Source organism: Homo sapiens, chromosome 4 (genome assembly GCF_000001405.40).
Source record: "Homo sapiens chromosome 4, GRCh38.p14 Primary Assembly".
Classification (NCBI taxonomy): domain Eukaryota; kingdom Metazoa; phylum Chordata; class Mammalia; order Primates; family Hominidae; genus Homo; species Homo sapiens.
In genome coordinates this window covers 114,466,567-114,488,912 of record NC_000004.12, presented here as the reverse complement: position 1 = coordinate 114,488,912, position 22,346 = coordinate 114,466,567, and the positions used below count along the sequence as shown (strand labels likewise).

The 22,346-nt window shown below is 36.0% G+C and overlaps 1 long non-coding RNA gene across 1 annotated transcript in view; it reads right to left on the bottom strand.

The window, feature by feature from the left end:
- Window positions 1–22,346, bottom strand: part of LOC105377379 (uncharacterized) — a 35,996-nt gene that overhangs the window by 5,195 nt on the left and 8,455 nt on the right. The window contains exons 3-4 of the long non-coding RNA XR_001741520.3: window positions 5,335–5,446; window positions 3,186–3,263 (exon numbers count right to left, since the gene is read on the bottom strand). This is a non-coding gene — a long non-coding RNA (uncharacterized LOC105377379). The remainder of the gene's footprint in view (window positions 1–3,185; window positions 3,264–5,334; window positions 5,447–22,346) is intronic.

The following is a 22,346-nucleotide window of genomic DNA, read 5'->3' as shown; positions in this document are numbered from 1 at the left end:
GCATTGTTGTTAACGGAAACTGAAGGCAGAGAACTTACTGATTTTAGTATACACCATAACTTTTAACATAGTAATAGACTTCTGAGAGCACTAATGTCTCAGCAACTTAATAGGTGCTCCTTGATTTGTTGGATTCTAAAGAATGCCTTGACAAACATTCCCAAAATCGAGCTCTCATACATATTAAACCCAGGTAAGGCTGAGTGGCTTATTGTGAAATAAGAATAATAACCACAAAATCCTAGAATACCATGCCACTAAATCTTACTAGCAGAGTTCTAAAACAGAAAAATTAATGCATTTACTTAATACAAGACTAGTTATTGTGTAGTCTGTGACTTCTCTCCTTGATGAATATTTTTGAGTCCATTAAAATAATTCTCTTTGTCTACTTTAAGACAAAACCTATTGTCAGCAATTTTTTCCATGTGAAATTGTAAAAATCTTTTCTTAACAACATCTAATTAGTTTTTCCCTAACAATATCTTATTAATTTTTATTACACATCTGAGTATATTTGATGAGTAAAAGGGGAGTCAAATTAATGGTTATGACTCTTAGGAAGAATGCTAATATTTCTTCTTTAATCGGCACTTAGTTGAATCCTACTTATTAATTACTTTAAACAACTCCCTATAGAAGACACTCCAGTGCTATTTATTGCTTTTATTCATGAAATACATTTGTAAGAATATTTCCAATGTGTCTGTATTTTCTTCACCTTTAATATAATATCAGAGTGAATACAGTTTTGATGAATTAGGAACTATCTCAATCCTTTGTGATACAGTTTATCTTCATAGATGGCCAAAGGAAGCCATCTTTTTGGAATGCCTTTATCAAATTGCTACTAGATAGAAAAATAAATTAATAGTCATGCTGATCAGGCTGAAGTCTTTGAAGACATTGGCCTGAATAAATAAGGCAAGTCACAGACCCATGCCACTCTAGTATGTTTATTAGAACAGTCGTACCCTATCAAAAACATAACTCAGCACATTACCCAGATAGTAATAATACAGGTCACCTCCTTTAGAGCCAGTAGATGAAACTGTAATCGTATCAACTCTTTCATTAATAGCTCTGTAACTTTTAAAGGAATTGACTCCATCACCAAAAGCTTTCCACAAAGAAAACTGTAGGCCCATATGGCTCATCACTGAAATCTATAAATCAGCTAAAGAAGAAATAATGTCTTACATAAGGCTTTTTCAGAAAATAAAGGTGGAGATAACACACCCCAAATTGTTTTATGAGGATGGCATAACCCTGATACTAAAATGTGAAAGAGACATTACAAGAAAAAGTATCACCCATCTTAGCCACATAAAATGAAAAGACAATAGTTTCACATCTGTTTGCATTTGATAAATGTTTTAAGGACTTGAATGTTATAAATCACTCTATTATAATGTGAAACATCTTTTATCAAATATCACAGGAACGGTCAATACCTGACAACTGGAGAGGAAAAACAGAGGAGAATACAAGTTTCTGAATGTCTGCGTTGGTGTTACGCATTAAATAATACTACTTTTTCTTGCCTCTTGTTGATATATGCAGAAATCAGTATGCAATATGCCAACCTGCTCTTGCCACACCTATTACTGTGTAACTTATTCTTAAGCAAATTATCCCAATACAACAGGCAGCTCTTTTGCAAGCTTACTTAAAATGCTTTTATTCCTACTCATCCTATGCTCATATCTTTGTTCCTCTTTTCTCACAAGCACATGTTATTAGGCATGTCTTATCTTCTTCATAGTCACTCAAGGGTTTCTGTGTGGCTCTGTGTGTCAATGACCACTATACATGCAAATGTGCATGTGTACAAACATAATGTCCTGTCTACAGTCATGTCTACTTGACCCTAGAGTTTCTTATGGTTTAATTTCTGTTTTAGTTTAAGTCAAAGATGTGTTGCTTAGATATTCTGGTTATCAACCAGGCAAGTCTATTCTTTTGAGCTACTCCTTTTTTCTGTGTAATCTTTCACTTCAGCTAGTTGCTTGTTATACCCTTCCAAAAACATCGCTTCATCACGCTGTCTCTTACAACTTCTCTAAAAGCCTCTTTATTATCATTTTAATTATTCATCTAAGAATTGGCTTATTCTTTGTCTTTTCCAAACTCTAGAAAACCAAAGGGAATTTTATCATTAGGAAGCATCTAGAGCAGTGGTTAGTAAACCATGGCCCATGGGCCAAATCCAGCCTGCAGCCTGTTTCTATACAGCTCACAAACTAGGAATCATTTTTATATTTTAAAGTGGTTGGGACACAAACAAACAAAATATATTTTATGACACATGAAAATGACATGTAATTCAAATTTCACTGTTCATAAGTAAAGTTTTACTGGAACTTAGCCATGCCCATTCATTTACATATTGTCTATAGCTGTTTTTGCAATACAGGAGCAGAATTGAGATGTTGCAAGAGACCAAATGGCCTGCAAAGCCTAAAATATTTACTATTAAGTAAAAGGAAAAAAGTTTGCCAACCCTTGATCTAGGGAATTAGAAAAATGTAAATTGTTGTTCACAAGGTTAAATGATTTCCCCAAGGCCATAGGAATTTATTGCTGAGCCCAGGCAGGAACTTTGATTTCTTTATTCATCCATTGGTGCCCTCCTTGTTGTATCATATGCCAACTACCCATTTAAAAGACATAGTTAACCTTGTAACTGAAAGACAAGGGGAAACTCCATTTCTCGTTGGGTCTTCTGCATTTCCAACGTTAGTCAGTCACAAAAAAACACTGTGGAGGAGATCAACATTTAGATGACTACAGAAACAGGGATTATCATACAATGAATAATTAACTAGGTAGCAAAGATTATTTATACCCTTACTAATCCTGGGTTTTTAAAAAAATCAATATTAATTTTAGTTAGAAAGAGTTGTATTAATATTATAGTGTTGCACTTCACATATTACTTTTATATGCATGTATATTCTTAGAAAAAAACAAGAACCCATTTTCTGGGATAATTTATCATCTTGCTTTAAAATAAAGGAACAAATTCTGCTGCCAAGAAGCTTCTCACATGTTCCCCCCTTATCAGGATAAATAATTGTTTGATCAAAATAGCAGCCGGCCTAGTGCCCCTGGCTGAGACAGCTGATTAATGAACTTTAATTACTAGTTACAGCTCTAGAACCACCCAGCAGCCTTCGACCAACCTCTTCCTGAGCATCAACCTCCTTTTTCTGCTTTTGCCTTGGAAATAATGACAGTGTCTCCTCTAGACATCCACAGGCCTGTGGGGAGATAGAAGTTCACAGCAGGAATTGCAGTTAATTTCTTGTTTCTTCTTTACTGGACAGAAAAACGAAGAGACTTCAGAGAAAAGATAAAGTGGTAACTATCCCTTTGTAACTCTAACCCAAAGTTCTACTGCCCTTTTTCGTGAAAATACTTTTAAAAAATCATACGTGAGAAAGGGGAGGGAGGTATCTGTCATCCTTTTCAGAGCCCACCCGTGCTGCTACATTGCCCTGTGGGGCACTCCTTGCTAGCCAGCTTCTGTGGAGGAGTGAAGTTGTTGTTGTCTCAGCTTCAGTGCAAAGTATTAGGGAAGACAATACTGTCATTTGCTGTTAGCTCTGTAATTCCCTACACCACTAGACTAGTGGGTGTCTGTGACTTGAAGGTATAGGCATAACTAGAGAGGGTAGGTAGGTAATGAGATATGGCAGGACTTTAATATACTAAATATGACTGTTGCCAGAGTACAAAGAAAAGACTGACCCTGGCCTGGTGTCTCCATCTGTGGACATACACCAGTTCAGAGCCTTTTCCCCAATCTCAAGTTCACGCTGCTCCATCATTCAAGGAGAGATGCTGCTTTATGATGTAGTCAGAGAATAAATTTTCCTTGTCACCTTAGCAATACACTACCACTACCCACAAGAACGGTATTTACTTTGGGCCTTCTCTTCTCCTCCTCACTAAGGCAATACATACGATTAGGTAAAAAAAACAAAAACAAACCAGCATTATCTGTGGCACTGGCAAGAAATGCCTGATGTTGAATTCCCAAAAGTGTCATCAGACACCTTGTTCATAAAGACTGACAGAATGTATTCAAACTCATTGTAGTAAAGCAGACAGAGTCTTAGTATTGGAGGAAATTTAGAGGATTTGGAGTTTGGCTCAAGAGTTTTCAAAATGGGATGAGTTTAAAGCAGATTTTTTCAAGCAGGAAAATTATTAGAATTGGACAATGTTCATAACACAGTAGTTTAGGGTTGGTGAATGCATTGAGGTGAGGTGTTGACATGATAAGTAAACCTTTGATAAATGATCTTTACTGAGGTGAACAAACTTATCTCTGATAAATTGATTTGTAGGAATTTCTTGAAGAAAACAGTAAAGTTGTTTACTGGTTTAGTTTCATGTTAGAGTGTTTTTTAAATTTTTTGTTTGTTTGTTTTGTTTGTTTTTAGAAAAAAATCAACTAAGGCATGTGGATATAGATGTTTTCAGTTTTCATCAGAATGACCATTAGTACTCTATGGTATCAAAAAAAAAATATGTGTGCTATTGACAATCCAAATTTGTGGCTTTGTAGTATTTCTAACAGTATAAGGAAACATACATATACAAACATATATATTGTTCTAGAATAAATATTAATTTAATCGTTAGGGGTTATACAAGCCATAATACTCAGAAAGAAAGATAATTTTTTTTTCCTCGGGTAATACAATTTTTAAAGGTTGTCTGTAATCACAATGGAAGATATAGATTTACATTATTATCCAGATGAGTTTCATTCTCCACCTTATCTCTAGATCAAACCACGTAATTTCCTGGTTTAGAGACTATTACTAGTAGGTAGTATGTAGCCATGTATCCTGTCCAAAACAGAACCATCTTTCCATTAAAATTCTTAGCAGAGGCTTTGAAGTTAAAATTTACTTTACTGTAGGCCATATCAAATTCACTAATATTTGAAAAATGAAGGTAAACCATACATGCCTTTATTATATCTAAATTAAAGCCAATCAGTAGGGTGGCACTTGTTCTAGATAACACAGTTAGTTGCAAATTATTTTATCTTTTCTCCTTTTCTTTGTTTTTCATACAAATGACTCCAGTAGAGCTTAAAATAGTTTTTTTTTCTGTTTCTTTGTTTTGTTTAACTTTTAAGTTCAAGGGTACATGTGCAGGTTTGTTATATAGGTAAATTTGTGTCATGGGGGTTTGTTGTACAGATTATTTTGTCACCCAGGTATATTAATCCTAGTACCCATTTGTTATTTTCCTGACCCTCTCCCTCCTCTCACCATCCACCCTCTGATAGGCTCTAGTGTGTGTTGTTCCTACCTTTGTGTCCATGTGTTCTCATCATTAGATCCAATTCATTTGTGAGAACACGCAGCATTTGGTTTTCTGTTCCTGCATTGGTTTGCTAAGGATAAAGTCCTCCAGCTTAATTCTGAGAATTCATGGAATAAAAAAAATTATGCTAAATTTAATCATTCTGATACTGATTGTTATATATTATTTATTTTAGTAAAATGAGAATGTTAAAACTTCATAGTGATTTTTGCAAGTGAAGAAAAGGAGAATATTTCACCCCAAAATACACCTCTTTGACATACATAGTTTTAAGCTTACTGCAATTGGGAAGCAGCAGTTACAGAAAAGACTGACTTTCCCTTTCTTACCTATGGCAGGCTATAAACATTCCTATAAAAAAGATGCAGGGGGGCTCTGCCTTCTCTTTCCACATGTAGATGGAGATATAAGTTCTCGCTTGCTTATCAGCCCAGAGGTGGCACCAGCAGAGTCAAAGGAATTTGGGAACAGACTTTGACTATTTTTATGCAGCTTTTCCCACATTTGGGACCCTAAAGCTACTTGTTATTTCTGTCTTAACACTTCTAAATTGATTGTTCTTTGTTAGATATGCTATATAAGCAGGAACCCTAAGCCATCATATTATGAGAAACTTTTGAACTGAGGTTTCTCCCGTGTGGTGTACACTGCACAGATAGATAAAAATGTCTGTTTTTCTCTTGTTAATCTGTCTTTTGTTACAGAAGTGTTCCCACTATGCACTTAAGGGGTTGAGAAAGAAGTTATATATTTTCTCCCATTTACAGGGAAAAGTTGTGTATTCATCCAATCAAGAAATATTTATGTATTTACTAATTTCTTACCAGACACCACACACTAGGTTGGATACAAGAGCTTTCAAAATGGGGTAAAGAAAACAAAAATCATAAATTACTTCTAAAAATAACTTTTAAGCCAATAAATGAGAGAAATACATAAACTCTTATAGTACAATGGAATAATCTAATCATGTTTATGTAAAGATGTTTTGGAAAGGTCTAAATCCATTTATGTTAAATTTGGATACGAATAGGGGCAAGTTATAGAAATATAATGTTTTTTTTCTGTCTAATATGTGCCAAGCATTTTATATTATTTTATTTAAACATCACTACAGGCTGTAGAAATTCAATGTTTATCCCAATTTTGTAGGTGAGGAAATTAATGCTTATAAATATTAGAAATACCAAAGGCACAACAACTAGTAAGCAGTCAAGCCTGGCTTGGAATCCAGTTCTTTTTGGTTCCAAATTATTTACTATTTTCAGTACGCTGAGCATCTCCAGGAAACACAGATCTGAATTCTGGATTTCAGGCAGGAGATATTGAGAGGTGACAACATGCTAGCAGCCCTCGCTCATTCTCAGCATCTCCTTGGCTTCGGCATCCGCTCTGGCTGCACTCAAGGAGCCCTTCAGCCCGCCGCTACACTGTGGGGGACCCTCTCTGGGACTGGCCGAGACCAGAGCTGGCTCCATCTGCTTGCCAGGAGGTGTGGAGGGAGAGGCGCGGGCAGGAGCCGGGGAGCTGGGTTCCGGATGGGTGCAGGCTCAGCGGGCCCTGCACTGGGCGCAGCCGGCCGGCGCCTACTGGGCTTGACTGGGGGATGAGCTCCCTTTGGGCTGCCGGAGTGCCTGGGCTAGATGCCGCAAAGTCCCACAGCGAGTGCCATTGAGAGGTGAAGCCAGCTGGGCTTCTGGGTTGGGGAGGGACCTGGAGAACTTTTCTGTCTAGCTAAGGGTTTGTAAACACACCAATCAGCACTCTGTGTCTAGCTAAAGGTTTGTAAATGCACCAGTCAGTGCTCTGTCAAAACGGACCAATCAACTCTGTAAAATGGACCAATCAGCTCTCTGTAAAATGGACCAATCAGCAGGATGTAGGTGGGGCCAGATAAGGGAATAAAAGCAGGCCACCCAAGCCAGCAGCAGCAACTCGCTCGGGTCCCTTTCCACGCTGTGGAAGCTTTGTTCTTCTGCTCTTTGCAATAAATCTTGCTGCTGCTCACTGTTTGTGTCCACGCCACCTTTATGAGCTGTAACACTCACCACGAAGGTCTACAGCTTCACTCGTGAAGCCAGCGAGACCGTGAACCCACCAGAAGGAAGAAACTCCGGACACATCTGAACATGTGAAGGAACAAACTCCAGACACACCGTCTTTAAGAACTGTAACACTCACTGCAAGGGGCTGCGGCTTCATTCTTGAAGTCAGCGAGACCAAGAACCCAACAATTCCGGACACAATATCAGTAAATTATTCCACTACCAGAACCAGGAGAGTGATAAAATGAAAGCAAAATTTTAGAAAAGTAATCTGAGAGGAATTTTGGGAATCAAGTAATAATGTATAGAAGCAGATAATTCAAATAGCTTGCTGAGATATCAACATAAAAAGGGCTTAGGCTAGAATAGTAACAGCTAATAAAAATTAACATGACCAACTACTGTATACCACATTTTGTGCTTGGCATTTCACAACGACTTTCAGGATAAAGTTATGAGGTAGGTGATATTATCCCCATATTACTGTCTGGAGGTAAAGCAACATGACAAGGTCACATAGCCAATAAATAGAAGAATTATGATACAAACCCAGATCTTTTTGGTTCTGAAAACTGAAATCTTAACCACTATGTTATAGTAAGATTAGAACAGAAATGTCAAATATAATATTTTGGAGAATCTTTTGATAACAAAATAAGGAAAGAGAATGTGCTTGAAAGTATTAAGCAGAAGTTATCAGTGCCAACGACAGATCAGATGACAAAGCTAGACCCTGATGCAGAATGCCCACCTCCTACAAATAATTGTTTCTGTCTTGTTTCCCATCACCATTTATATCATCACTGCCACTATGATCATCCAGTAGCACCTACACTCTCATCTTCATACTTCTTTCGATATTCTTCTATTTACTCCCTTCCATCAATGCTTCCCTACCTTATAAACCCTTCCACTCTGTTGGGGGACTAATGGACACACACATATCGATGGTTCCTCGGAACAATGTAATGAGTTCTGTGTTTCTCTTTTTGTGTGGTATTGCTGTTCTAAAAACTACAGATATCAGTGTTTTTACAAACTCAATGTAGATTGATGCCTAGAAAACGATATCCTCTTCTGTTCCCACCATTCTTCTCCAAACCCTATCACGTCCTTGAAATACTGTTCTACGATCAGTATGTTCCCGTATATTCTGTCTTCTCTGTAAATTCCCTCCAGTTCCTTTGTCCCAACTGACACTTCAGAATCTTCTGAGGATCTGAGGAGATTGCCTTCTTTGTAGCCTTCTCAAGCAGAGGTTTTCTTTTGTTCTTCCGCACTAGCCAGTTCTACCCAATCTGACTTTATAATTGCTGATCCACCAATTTTGTTTTCTACATCTACCTGTCTATCAGCATTTTTATTGAATTCAAAATCCAAGAGGAAGACCTATTCAACAGGCTGATAATGCATGGTTTGCCCTCTTCATTTTAAATAACATTTACTGCCATCTCCATCTCAACAAATCATCCCCGTGGTCAAATCCTGTGGTAGCACTCCTCACACAGGGGCACCAGCTGCCGGGGTCTGCCTGCAGACCCTGACCCAGCGACGGATGAATAAAGTACACTGACACACAGATAATCTGTTTTGCCAGTTCAGCTGAGTGTCCAAGCCATTTACAAATTCCCTGCTGAGTATTGTGAACAGTTGCAACTATGGCCCAATCAGCTGATGAGACTCACATTTATTCAGTAAGATTAATTCACAAAGGCTTGAGTCAACACCATTAGAGGGTAATTGACATTGTGGACTTCCCGAGTAAAAAGCACTTAAGCACCTGTGGTACATCAAAGGTTAGTCTTAAGACCACATGAGTAAACAAGCTAGCTAGTTAACTACCCCACATTCCTTTGTTACTACTCTACTTTATTTAACTAAAGGTTAAGATCAGGTTGTCTTCAACCATATCTGTTACCAAAGTTATGCAAACTTCTTGGCCTTCCAAGATTTGTGTCTATCTCTGTAACTATCTCTAATATTTTCCCTACCAGCCTGACTGAACCCAACAACATTCTAGATGCTTCTCTTCTAGAAACTATGTCAACTACAGCATCTGTATTTCAACCATATTGCTTTACAACGATTGTCTTTTACTTTTCTATCTCACTTGCAAAAGTACCATTGCTGAAATAATTCCTCAACTTCATTGAGGACCAATTCCTTGACCTCGCGATTTTCTCATTACCATACTGTCTCCTTGTATATTAGTTTTCCTTTTAAACCACATTAGATTATATGGTTCCACACTACCATCACTCATTAAAAAAACTTGTTTGCAAATATCCTCAATTTCTCTACATCTGCCACTTTCTATGGTAATTCTCTGACAAACCAAATTTTTAATGAGTAATTCACCTTCTAACATGAAGACAGAAGAAACTTCTGTGGCTGGAAAGAAATATCATATGAGTAAGCTGACTGGTTTTTACTTAAAGGGAACATCATGAGCTTTAAGTGGGCATTCTACATGGGCAGTCATATTCTAATGAGGAAACAGAAACAGTCAGAGAAGAACTTTCTTGTTTTCTTCTAACCAAATCTATAAAATGGCCTTAATCTGCATCTATCTGAAACTTTTTGCAGTGTATTTTCCATCACTAATCACAGCATACAGGTTTCAAAGAATTTCTACAGGACTGAAAAAAACCAAATCATGCCAAATAGTGGGAGGAAGAGCTACCTTATTCCAAAAAATACTAGTATCAGAACTCAGGTTTCATTAAATACATTGATACCTAGAATAAAAGACTCTCTTGCAGCTTTCTGTGGCCAGATGACTTTTGTTCAATGAAATATTAAGCACTGTGTTGTATCTCCAGAAAGTCCCCATTTTGCTTTTCTCTTCTTTATTCTTATTTTTGTGCTGTCATGAAAGTGATTTCAGGAGCTTCAGAATCCATCTAATACCATGAAGTAACCTTGAAGAAACCATGTGCAAGGGCTACAGAGGAGAAAGAAGAAAGCCTGGCCTCTAATCACACTGTGGATATGCTTCCACTGGCCAAATCTGGATTTCTTTTGTATAAAATAAGATAAACGTATATGTTGTTTAAACCACTTTTGTTTGTTTTTAATTTTTCTGTCATATGCATACATCAAAATTCATAAATGATGTGGTTTACCTGCAAATATCAAGAATATGCAATACAGGCTGGGGTACAGTGGCTCATGCCTGTAATCCCAGCACTTTGGGAGACTGAGGTGGGCAGATCATTTGAGGTCAGGAGTTCGAGACCAGCTTGAGCAACATGGCAAAATTCTGTTTACAAAAATACAAAAAAATTAGCCTGGCTTGGTGGTGCACGTCTGTGGTCCCAGCTACTAGGGAGGCTGAGGTAGGAGGATCTCCTGAGCCTGGGAGGCAGAGATTGCAGTAAGCTGAGATCCCGCCACTGCACTCCAGCCTGGGCAACACAGTGAGACCCCATGTCAATATATAGATATGAATTCATATATAATAATAATATATAATATATAATAATAATTCATATATAGAATTCATATATATATGAATTTTTTAAAAAAAGAAAGAATATACAAGAGAAGTTTAAAACTTACCTGGTAATAAGGGATAAATGTGTAATATAATAATTGCTTTCTATACAATTAAGCCTGAGTTTTGATAATTTTTTGGTTATTCTCCCATCAAAAAAGAAGAAAATAAAAAGCTTAGCAGTTCATTTTCATGATCTCAATCCTAAAGCAAAGAACTATTTTCCAACATTGTGCTTGTAAGTGTCTAAAATCACAAAGTGAATGAAAATTGTGTCAGCAAATTTTGAGAGTAGTTGAAATAATAAAAAATTTTCTAATTAAGTGCATTAATAGGCTAAACTTACTTAAACAAGGAAATATTTTCTTTTGTATGTCTTACAAAATCATCAACCATATGATTCTAATTAAACACAAAAATGGAGATGGGATTTTATTTTGTAAATTAATATTTTATATTTCAATAGCTTTTGGAGTACAAATACTTTTTTGGTTTCATAGATGAATTGTATAGTGGTAAAGTCTGAGATGTTAGTGTACCCAAGGGATTTTATTTTTTAAATTAGGTTTTTGTTAGACAATTGCTTTAACAATCTAATGTATTTATTTTTATTTTTTAAAGAATTGGCAAATAATAGCTGTGAAAAATTACTGTTTGTTTCCTCCTTAAACATGAATTTGCATTCTACCCTTACAATGGCAGGACATTACTAGAACAAAACAACATTATCATTTCCTAATTTCTATGTATAAAACACCTACTATATGCCAAGAGTATCTAACATACTATTTCATGTTAACCTGTCTACAACATAGAAGAAACTTAATAAACTATAGTTGACTTAACTGATCTTCACAAGAAGCCTTACACACTTGGGTTACATTTATTCACTCACTAAGGGGAAGATCTGAGCCTTAACATGGGGAAGATCTAAGTAAGATTATATGATTGAATAAAGTTACGTGTTTGGAAAAGAAATCTCAGGTCTTGGATCAGACCTCAAGCCTGCTTGAGAGTGGCCTATGTCCATGTCATTCCTACTATTTCCGAAATCCTCATCACTTTGAATCAGAATTTAAAACAAGTATGGGTGTTTCCACTTAATTTTAAGTGAGTAGATATGATAGAATACTAAATAGAAGTTATCTGATGTGCCCATATTTCATTTGCTCTCTTAGCACTTGCGACAACGAAGTGAGAGAATTAACACATAAAATAGTCAGATTATACCAGAATTACTTAAAAAAAAAAATCACATCCAGCTGGGTGTGGTGGCTCACGCCTCTAATCCTAGCACCTTGGGAGGTTGAGGCAGGCGGATCACCTGTGATCAGGAGTTTGAGACCAGCCTGGCCAACATGGTGAAACTTTGGTTTTCTGTTCCTGCATTAGGAGCTCGTCTCTTCTAAAAATACAAAACTTAGCCGGGGTTGGTAGCAGGCACCAGTAATCTCAGCTGCTTGGGAGGCTGAGACAGGAGAATCGCTTCAACTCGGGAGGCAGAGGTTGCAGTGTGCCAAGATGGCGCCGCTGCGCTCCAGCCTGGGTGACAGAGAGACTCGAGTCAAAAAAAAAAAAAAAAAAAATAACAACAGTGATTGAATTTTAGAATTATCATTTTCAAATTATGCTTTTAGTTGGCTGTCCAAGAAAAACCTGGTGAAAAATATTTCTTTTTTCTTGTATTTCCTTAGTAGTTTATTTCTACATAGTAGCATAAGAAAAGAAATCTTTCTCTTTAGGGTTTTTCCTCCAAAATTGTATGAAGACTATCTGACCTTACAGTTCACGAGGTTAATGATTCGATCATAATTTGTTAAAGTTAATTAATTACACGGTAATGCCTCCTGAAAGGCATTACTTGGCTTTCTCACAGTAATTTAGTCAAAAAATAGAAATATTTTGTTCAATTGTCTAGCTAAACAATACAGAAAGATATGTTAAAATAAGCATATCTGACTAACCTACTTTCATTGCTTTTATTTTTTATTTTTTAATTTTTAAAATTGGATTTGTTTCAGCTTTTTTTTACAGACAAATAGCTGAGTGCCACTGTGATTCTTCTACAAAGTTTATAGACTGAATACGACTTTTAGAAAAATGCTATTATTCTAACATCACCTTTCTATTATAAATAATGTGTGCTATTTTTCAAGGTAAAGCTAACAAATATTGTTAACCTGTAACTGTCTAGATATTTAAGTTGGTCTAGATGTGTGTGTTGTGTGTATGTGTGTGTATTAATTTACCTCTAAATAAAGCTTTCATCACATTATTAACTATGCAGTATTTTCATTTTGATTTTTTTTATAGTTTATGATTTTTAAATATCTTTGATCCAAGATTTTAGTGAGCATGTTTTTAAGATATCAAGTAGTTAGATTTTTTGTTTTTGTTTGTTGTTATTCTGAGGCTGGAATATTAAATTATAATTTTATTACATCTGTGCATTTACATCTATTGATATGATAATATTAAAGTGTAAATGTAGTGAATAAATTTTTTGGATTTTATAATATTAAACCATATTTGCCTTTTTCTGGCATAAAACTAATTTGATCATAATGTCTCTTTTTTATATGCAGTGTTGGTTTGTGTTTATTGGTAATTTGAGGGATTTGACATCTTTATTCATGAGTGAAAAGAACTTTTAAGTTTTGCTTATCATACTATTCCTGTTGTGAAATTATTAAACATCATAAAATGAGAGAAAGTTTTCTACTTTTTCTATTCTTAGAAGTTTTTTTAAGAATTGAATGATTTGCTCTTGGAAATTTTGGATGACCAGTAAAACTGTTCAAGTTTCTTGTTTTCTTTAGAGGAAAATTTTAACTGTTAATATAATGGCCTGCTATTTTTATCGTCTTTAGTGGTACCTGGAGACTATTACTTGTTTTCATTATCTTAAATTCCCATGTGAAAAGGTGAAAGCTGATGATGCCAAATCTCTTAATACTTTAAATGTGCTAGCCCTTATGGAAAAAACGAAAAAGTGCTTTAGGCTGAGAGGAAGCTATTAATCTATTAATGGCTTGCTCTTTGGAAAAATCAGCTTTCCAAGTGGAAATATATAGCATATATATGATATGTAATTCTACATTGCCTACACATTCCAATATTTTATCAACTTTATCAACTCAGAATTTATAACTGCCTTTTTTTCCATGTATAACTTCCAGATAAAATTAGTAACAACATGCTTCTTCCTAACCTGAAACAACCATACCTTGCACAACCAAAGACATGTTTTTCTTCCTCCCCCAATGGGAAACACAAAGTCTCATACTCTACTTTATTCATGTCTGGTTGATATTTATTTATCTTCTAACTCAACCACAGATCTTCTTTTATATGTTGCCAAAATATATAAAACAGGGGCTTTTGGCCATTGGACAATAGGCGATATAAAACTGTGGTCTGTGATAGAAGAAAAATATACACGATGACTCATTTGATTTCCTCAGCTTACCATCTAGAGTTTGTTTCCAGGCCACAGCACAGGGAGGGGGAACACAACAGAGCCTGGCAATCTTAATGAGTAGAAGGGAAATAACCCGGTATTTGAGGAGGACAAGGAGCTAGAATTTCATTTCAGAATATCAGACAGGCTGGAACTGCACACAGAGTGAGTTCTAGAAATCTACATAAGAGTTTCCTGCATAAGTACTGATCAGTATATTCACAAGAGGAACTTACCCAAGACTGGAGGGAAAAAAAAACAACAAAAAAAAAAAAAAAAAAAAGAAAAAAAAAAAAACACCAGGAAGTAATAGGCCAACTAATATCTGGAGCACAACAGGACTGGGAATTATTTTGTGTTCCCATCAGACAGCAATCAGAATCATACTATATATAATGTACAGCAATCAGAATCATACTATATTCAATGTATTTGATCCAAAAAAGTTAACAGGTATGCAAAGAAACAGAAATATATTATTAATAATTCAGAGGAAAAAATCAATCAATAGAAGACCTGCAAAAAATGGGGCAATAAAATTAAAAAATAAGAATGTTAAAATAGCTTTTAAAATATGCTCCATATGTTCAACAAGATAGAGGGAAATACAATGATGATGAGGAAAGAAATGGAAGATATTTAAAAATCCAAAGTAGGAAGACATTAATAGCAGATTAGACACTGCAGAAGATCAATGATGTTAAAGACATAGCATGGAAACATTTCAAAGTGATGTAAGAAAAAAAAATTAACACTTCAAGGATTAAAAAGCATATCAATTACATTATCAAGTAGCCTAACAAACATAATTAGAGGTCTAGAAAAAGGGGAAAGTATGGAAAAGATATTAATGCTGATAATTTTCTAAATTTGATATAAAATATAAATTTGCATGTCCAAGAAGTTCAGCAAATCCCAAGGGGTATTAACACAAAGAAAACTTCACCAAGGGACATCACAAATTGCTTAAGACCAGTAATGAAAAGAAAAATCTTAAAAACAGCCAGAGAAAAAGAAACATTTTATACAGAGAAGCATGGATAATAACAAACTAATGCAAGCCATAGGACAATGAAACAACAGTCTTAAAGTACTTAAGAAAAAAGTCCACCCACAATTCCTTACCAGCAAAAATATCTTTCAACAATGAAGGGGAAATTTTTCATACATACAAAGATAGTGAGATTAATCTCCAGCAGATATGCATGTCAAACACTATTAAAGGAAATTCCTAGTGTATCAGTTTGCTAAGACTGCCATAACAAAATATCATAGACTGAGTGGCTTAAACAATAGAATTTATTTTCTAACAGTTCTGGAGGCTGGAAGTCCGAGACCTAGCTGTCAGCAGGTTTGGTTTCTTCTAATACTTCTATCTTGGCTTCCAAAATGGCCACCTTCTTGCTGTGCCATCACACAGCTTTTTCTCTGTGTGCATACATCTCTGGTATTTCTGTTTCTATAAGGACACGAATCATATTAGATTAGGGCCTGCTCATTGACTTCATTTAAACTTAATTACCTCTTTGAAGGTCCTATCTCCAACTATAGTAATGACACAGGATCCTTTGGGTGCCACTTTGCCAGCCGGAAACCTCTGTGGCTGGTGGTGCTTCTGCTCAAGTTTCACTCATATCTGCTGGGCTTATTCCACCCACTCAGCCCGACAGCTGCGCTCAGCCCACATTACTAGCCTAGATCCCATGCCCACTTAGGGTGAGCCAGGCACAGAGCAGGGAGGGGCATGTGAGTGAGTGAGCGCAGGGTCTGGCCACAGCACACAGTCAAGAGTGCCAGCTACTGTGGTGAGGTGGGCAGCTCCATGTGCTGGCACAGGTTCAGGCTCTGTGTGAGGCTGCAGCTGGACCAGGAGTACCGCAAATGGCTTCTGCCTTAGGTGCTGGCATCTGGATGAGGGGAACATGGTAGTGCCCGAAAACTTGGAGATGCCAGCAACCATGGAGCCTCAGCATTTCACAGCTTGTTCATTTCTTCTGTCCTCAGTGTGGCAAATGGGGTGGGTGGGGGGTGTGTTTCATCTTGTTATTATTACAGCTGGTTTGGTCCCACTGGCCCAGGTCTCCTGGGCTGGCCCAGCCCTGTTGCCACTTCCTGTCATGTGGGGTGGCTGCCCGGCACTGTCAGAGAGCAGGCGGGGTACAGTGTTACAGTTCCTTTCCCATGTTCTGTTTGGCAGGTTCCGGGTTCTTGTCCCAAGAAGAATGAGGTTACATGGACAACCAGAGAGTAAGCAAGGCAGAGAAGAATTTTACTGAGTGACAGAACAGCTCTCACTCTACCTGAGGGCAAGTAGTCCCAACATGTGGCTGAGTCTGGGGTTTTTATGGACTCAGCATGGGGGAGTGCATGCTGATTGATCCATTGGTGGGCCTGGAAAAAGCACCATTCGGTTGGCTAAAAGGCATTGAGGAAGTTCTCAATCCAGGTTGCGGATACTACCTGGGACTGGCAGCCCAGTTTGCAGGCTTCAGGCTGTCTTCTGGCTGGAAGGTTGGGTTTCACCAGGGACCTGCGCCTGTCTACCTAGGAATTTGTCTGTTTCCTGCAACTATCAGTAACATTCTGATATGTACTGGGAGTTAGAACGTCAATATATACAACTGGGTGGGGGAGGGTAGTGAAGCAAAATTCAGTCCAAAGACTTAGGGAATAGGAAAATGTTACCAGAGTGAAATTGGGATCTAAACACACACACACACACACACACACACACACACACACACACACACACAATTAGCAATGGTAAAAATATAAATAAACATACAAGAGTTTTTCTTCTCATTATTTGATCTATGTAAAAAAATATTGATAGCTTAAAAATAACAATTTACTCTGTACTTTATAATATATATATAGAAGTAAAAAGTATTACAGTAGTACCATGAAGGGCAGAGGAGGAAAATGAAAATATACTGTTATGAGGTTCTTATGCTATATGCAAATTCATATAATATTATTTGAAAATAAATTGTAATAATATGAAATTGTTATATTGTAACCCATTGGCCAACTGAAAAATAAAAAAGATAAAGTGAATGAGCCATTTGTGATGATAAAATTGAATGACAAAATAGACCCAATCTAAAGAAGTAAAACAAAGATAAGAAATGAACAAAGAATAGATGAGACAAATAGAAAACAAATAGCAGGGTACTAGATGTAAATCTAATAACATCGATAATTACGTGAATTATAAATAGTCTAAACACTCCAAGTACAAGGCAGAAATTTTCAGATTGGATAAAAACAGACCCGTGTTGTTCACAAAATATATTCACTTAGAACATACAGACAAGTAGATTAACAGTAAAAAGGTGGCCAATGTATGTGCATATATATATGTATAAGCAAATACTAAAAAAGTTTTAAAAAGAAAACAACACGCTGGGAGACCTCTACCTCCAAATAAGATGAGTAACTTGGCCTGGATGTACTGTTATCACCTTTAACAATGGAAATAACAATGTTTTTCAGACATGGAGCGTCAAAATGTTCAGAATACTCATTCCTAACAATAGGGAAACAAATAAGGTAAGCCCCATGCTTATCCTAGTTTACTGCCTGGAGAAAATTTTCATGCCACGGAGGAGGGAGAATGAAACCAGGTACAGACTGCAGTCTCTTTGAATTGAAGCGATAAAGTTAGAATTCAGGCAGGGAGAGGAGGCAAGAAGTCTAGAACTCACCAGAAGGGATACTAGAGAGCAGATAGCTTCAGAAAGTGAGGGCTACAGAGACCTGCAAAGGAACACTGAGCCTTCGGTTGGGTTCTAACCGATGCACATGTGTGAAGAAATTACCCAAACCAGGTCATTTGTAATTAAGAATTCATCTGAAAATTTCTAGGGTAATCATTTCAAAAATGATATTAAAAAGGAGAAAATAAAGATACTTCAAAAATTAGTAATAAGATACACTGAGTAATACAAATGAAGGAAAGGAGAGTAAGGAAACAAAAATAGATGTGGTAATTAGATTAAAAACATAATGAGATAATCGACTTAAACCCAATTGTAATCAGTAATTCCTTGCATAGAAATAGAGAAAACACTTTTATTAAGACAAAACTTCATACTTCCAGAACACTTCCTTCTGACACACTAGATGTGTGGAGTTTTTGTCCCACACTGAAAATTCTCCAATACCAGCCGCACATCCTACAATTCAATTGAATTCTGGTACTAACCTGAGTTAGTGCAGACCCCGGAGGTTAAGGGCTCAGGCCCACAAGGTTGGCTCCCACCTCAGATGCCAATCTCAAGTGGTGGGTCTCCGGGCTCACCAAAACTTCTGTCTGACTTGGCTACAAACAGGAGGTTCCCATAACCCTCTCCTTGTGTTTGATCATTTTCCAGAAGAGGTTGCAGAACTTAGGCAAACACTTAAGTTTACCAGTTTACTATAAACGAGATTACAAAGGATACAGGTAAACAGTGAGATGAAGAGGTACATAGGGCAAGTTATGTGAGAAGAGGTGCAGAGCTTCTGTGTTTTCACCAGCCATGCCACCTTCCCAGCACCTTCACGTGTTCAGCAACCTGGAAGATTTTCAAACCTTGTTCTCGTGTGTGTGTGTGTGTGTGTGTGTGTGTGTGTGTGTGTGTGTGTGTTTTATGGAGGCTTCATTATAGAGTCATAATTGATTAAGTAACTGGCCATGGGGGATTAAGTCAATACTAGTCCCTCTCCCCTCCCTGGAGGTAGGGGATGGGGCTAAAAGTTCTAACCCTCTAATCACATAGGAGGGGTAACCAACACCATCCTGAGACTATCCAGGAGCGCCTGATACCAGGCATCTTATGAGCATACAAAAAGACACATCATTTTGGAGATTCCAAGCGTTTTAGGAACTCTGTGCCAGAAAACAAGCAGGGAGAAGGAGATGAGGGGACAGAGACTAAATATATATTTTTTTATTATGTCACAGTAACAATAGTTACCCTTTTATGAAATAAATCAATCATGTTCTTAAACTTATGGTTTATCCCCTAGAACAATACTAGGCACATAGTCAATTTTCAATAATTGTTTAAGTAAATAAATAAATGAATAGCTCAGATTTTTTGTAATGATTGTCACTCTTTTCTCATTTCCATAAAAAGCTAGCTGAATTTAGTTTGAGATTAAGGTTGTTGTATCAAACTGGGTGCTTACTTTTTAGCAGAACCTTTATTAGATTCAGGAAGGCAGCTGCTTATTTATTTATTGGTGGCTCAATTGTTTTTATCTTACCTAGGGGAAAAAGTAACAATATCTCAAATGAAAACATTATTACGGCCAGATATCTCAGGCTAGTCCAAAACTGTGTCTAATACATGCTATATTCAAAATCCATGTACTCAAGTGAAGTGTGTCTTTTCCTTCTTAGATTTCCAAAATGAGATCAACACAATTGCAATGGTGTACTTTAGGAAAATCGTCATATACAAACTGGCATTTACTCTTCTTTCATAATCTCTAAAGATAAGAGAACTATAAGTGGAACTGGAAGACATATTTTGTGTAAGACATAATTGGTTGTTTTGCCACACATTATCATTGCATGATGGCATTTTTAAAAATTTATCATTTGTTTTGCTTCTTTTTGGAATTTAAAATCCAGTGAGAGCAAGCCACGTTTTTTTGAAATAAATCTTATGTAGGAAAATGGAAGATAAGGCATTTATGAACATATACTATTTAAATCCCAATTATTAATTATTTAGAGAAGTTAAAAAAGAAAGTTCTAGGATATATCTAACACACTGACACCCTCTTCTTCATTCATCAAGGTGTTTCTAAACATGTTAGAAAAACAAGCCAAAAAATTACAAAATAAAAACACGGCTTTTAAAGTTGGTCTGAATATGTAAAGTGAGATAAAAATTAAATTGGTTTTGGGATCTATGTTTCTCTCTATTGTAGTTTCAATACATCTGGGTAAAAGTTTCCTTTTCCAATGATTGAAATGGACTGTATCCATGAGACATTTACATCACTTAAGAAACTGGAATATTTTTAAGGCAATTGCTCACTTCTGTAACCTTGAAAATAATTATATAACAAAGAAAAAAACCAAATGCTGTGGATTTTTAAAAACACCCTTGTTCTTTTCCTTCTTGTTTATTAACCTTTGTTTTGATTTAGCAGTATTGATGTAAAGTAGCTGAACCAACCAGCTAATACCATAGAAACAATAAGAGGGAAGCCATTTGAGCTTGTTATTAATTGTTAATTGTCTTCTGATCCTTAAACTAGATACCTAAACTGAAGAGACAACTATCAGCAACAGAGCCAAATTATATGAACACTGTAGGTGCTCAAATGCAAGTGGATTTCTAAACATTTTATTGCTGTCCAAGTGTCACTGAATAATTGTATTTAATTTTTCTCATACTCTAAAAGGTGTAGTGTCAAAAATACTTGCCCCATTACAAGTTATCAGAACCTGGTATCTCAATGAATACAATTTTCCTGAGAGAATGTCTCAGAAAATTAACCAGAGATTGCATTTTATATACATGCAGGTGAGCATGGAGGGAAATATATTATTATATTTTTATATTTTTGATGATAAAATATTCGTAATATTTCATTTCAACTTTATTTTTGACCTTTGTATTTTATGTTTAAGGAAAAGAACTACTTACTCCTTTCTCTAAACACCCATTATTATCAAACCTGTGTGTATTTGCCTGCGTTCTTACTAAAATGTTTTCTTCCAATTGTTGCCTGAAAAATCCTATCTTTTCTTTTCTGTGAAGCCTGCCCTGATCTATACAGATAGATACTATCTTTCCCTTTTTTAAATTGTCATGATGTTTTTGCCACTGCTTTTATGGCATGAGTCTCATTCTACTGTATACTGTATTTGTATAGTGCATCCTTATTTCCTATATTAGGTTGAAAAAACTTTGAATTTAATGTCAGTGTCTACTTTTTAAAATTGTACTAAGCTATTCTTTATATATTTGGTAGTAAATAGGTAACATCAGAAAAAATGTTAAAATAGTAGAAATTTCTCTGATTGTATCTGATTGTTGCTTTTTAATTTTATAATCAGAGAAGGTGATTAGAAAGACCATTATGGAAACTGGAAACTTTGTGGGGAAAACCAGGAGGGTAAAATTACTTCAAACACATAAAACAAAGGTTATTGTATAACAAATGATGATTCATTAAACTCCACTACCTGCAGAAAGATGAATAATTTTCTTTAGAATCAAAGTTATTAATGCAGTTATTTATTAATGGTGAGAAATCCTAGTACAATTTATAGAAACTTTTAGTAAGTATAGAATTCAATTTTTCTGAAATATTTCAATAAAATTCTGTCTGAAGGGGAAACAATGTCCCTGTAAGGTGCATATTTAGTAGGCACAGCCACAGTCAACTTAATGTTCTTCATTTTATTGACTCCACACAGAGTCTCAGAACTGATATTGCTGAACTTGAAAAGTACAGTAAAATCCTATATAATTTGAAAGTCAGGACAATATAATGTCAATTTAGTTGTTTGGCTGTCTAAGGCTTAAGCAGAAAACCTTCATTATGGAAGGCTCTGTTACCTTTTTTCATAGCTGAAACTTTTTCTAAAACTTACTAGAGCATTTTCTATTTCACAGAATATACCACGTAGATGTAATTTCATTTTCACTGAAGCTTCATTTCACTGAAATTTCATTTCACTGAAGTGCCATTGTGTTTGCAAATTCTAATTTTAAAGTCCTATTATTTTAGGCATTGGACATTTGGGTATGATTCTGTTTAAATGATGGGGTTGGATACTTTAGGTTACATATTATGGAGCACGATCCTATTAACTATTTCATCATTGCCTGAGGTCATACATACACTCTTGTATAGAAACCCATATTTAAAAGTGAGAAAATTTCTGTAGATCAGTTAATGGTGTTTTCAGCTTTACCTTCCAGTTGGAGATATTATCCATATATAGGGAATTCTGGAGATACTATGGACCTGCTTGATTTGGCAT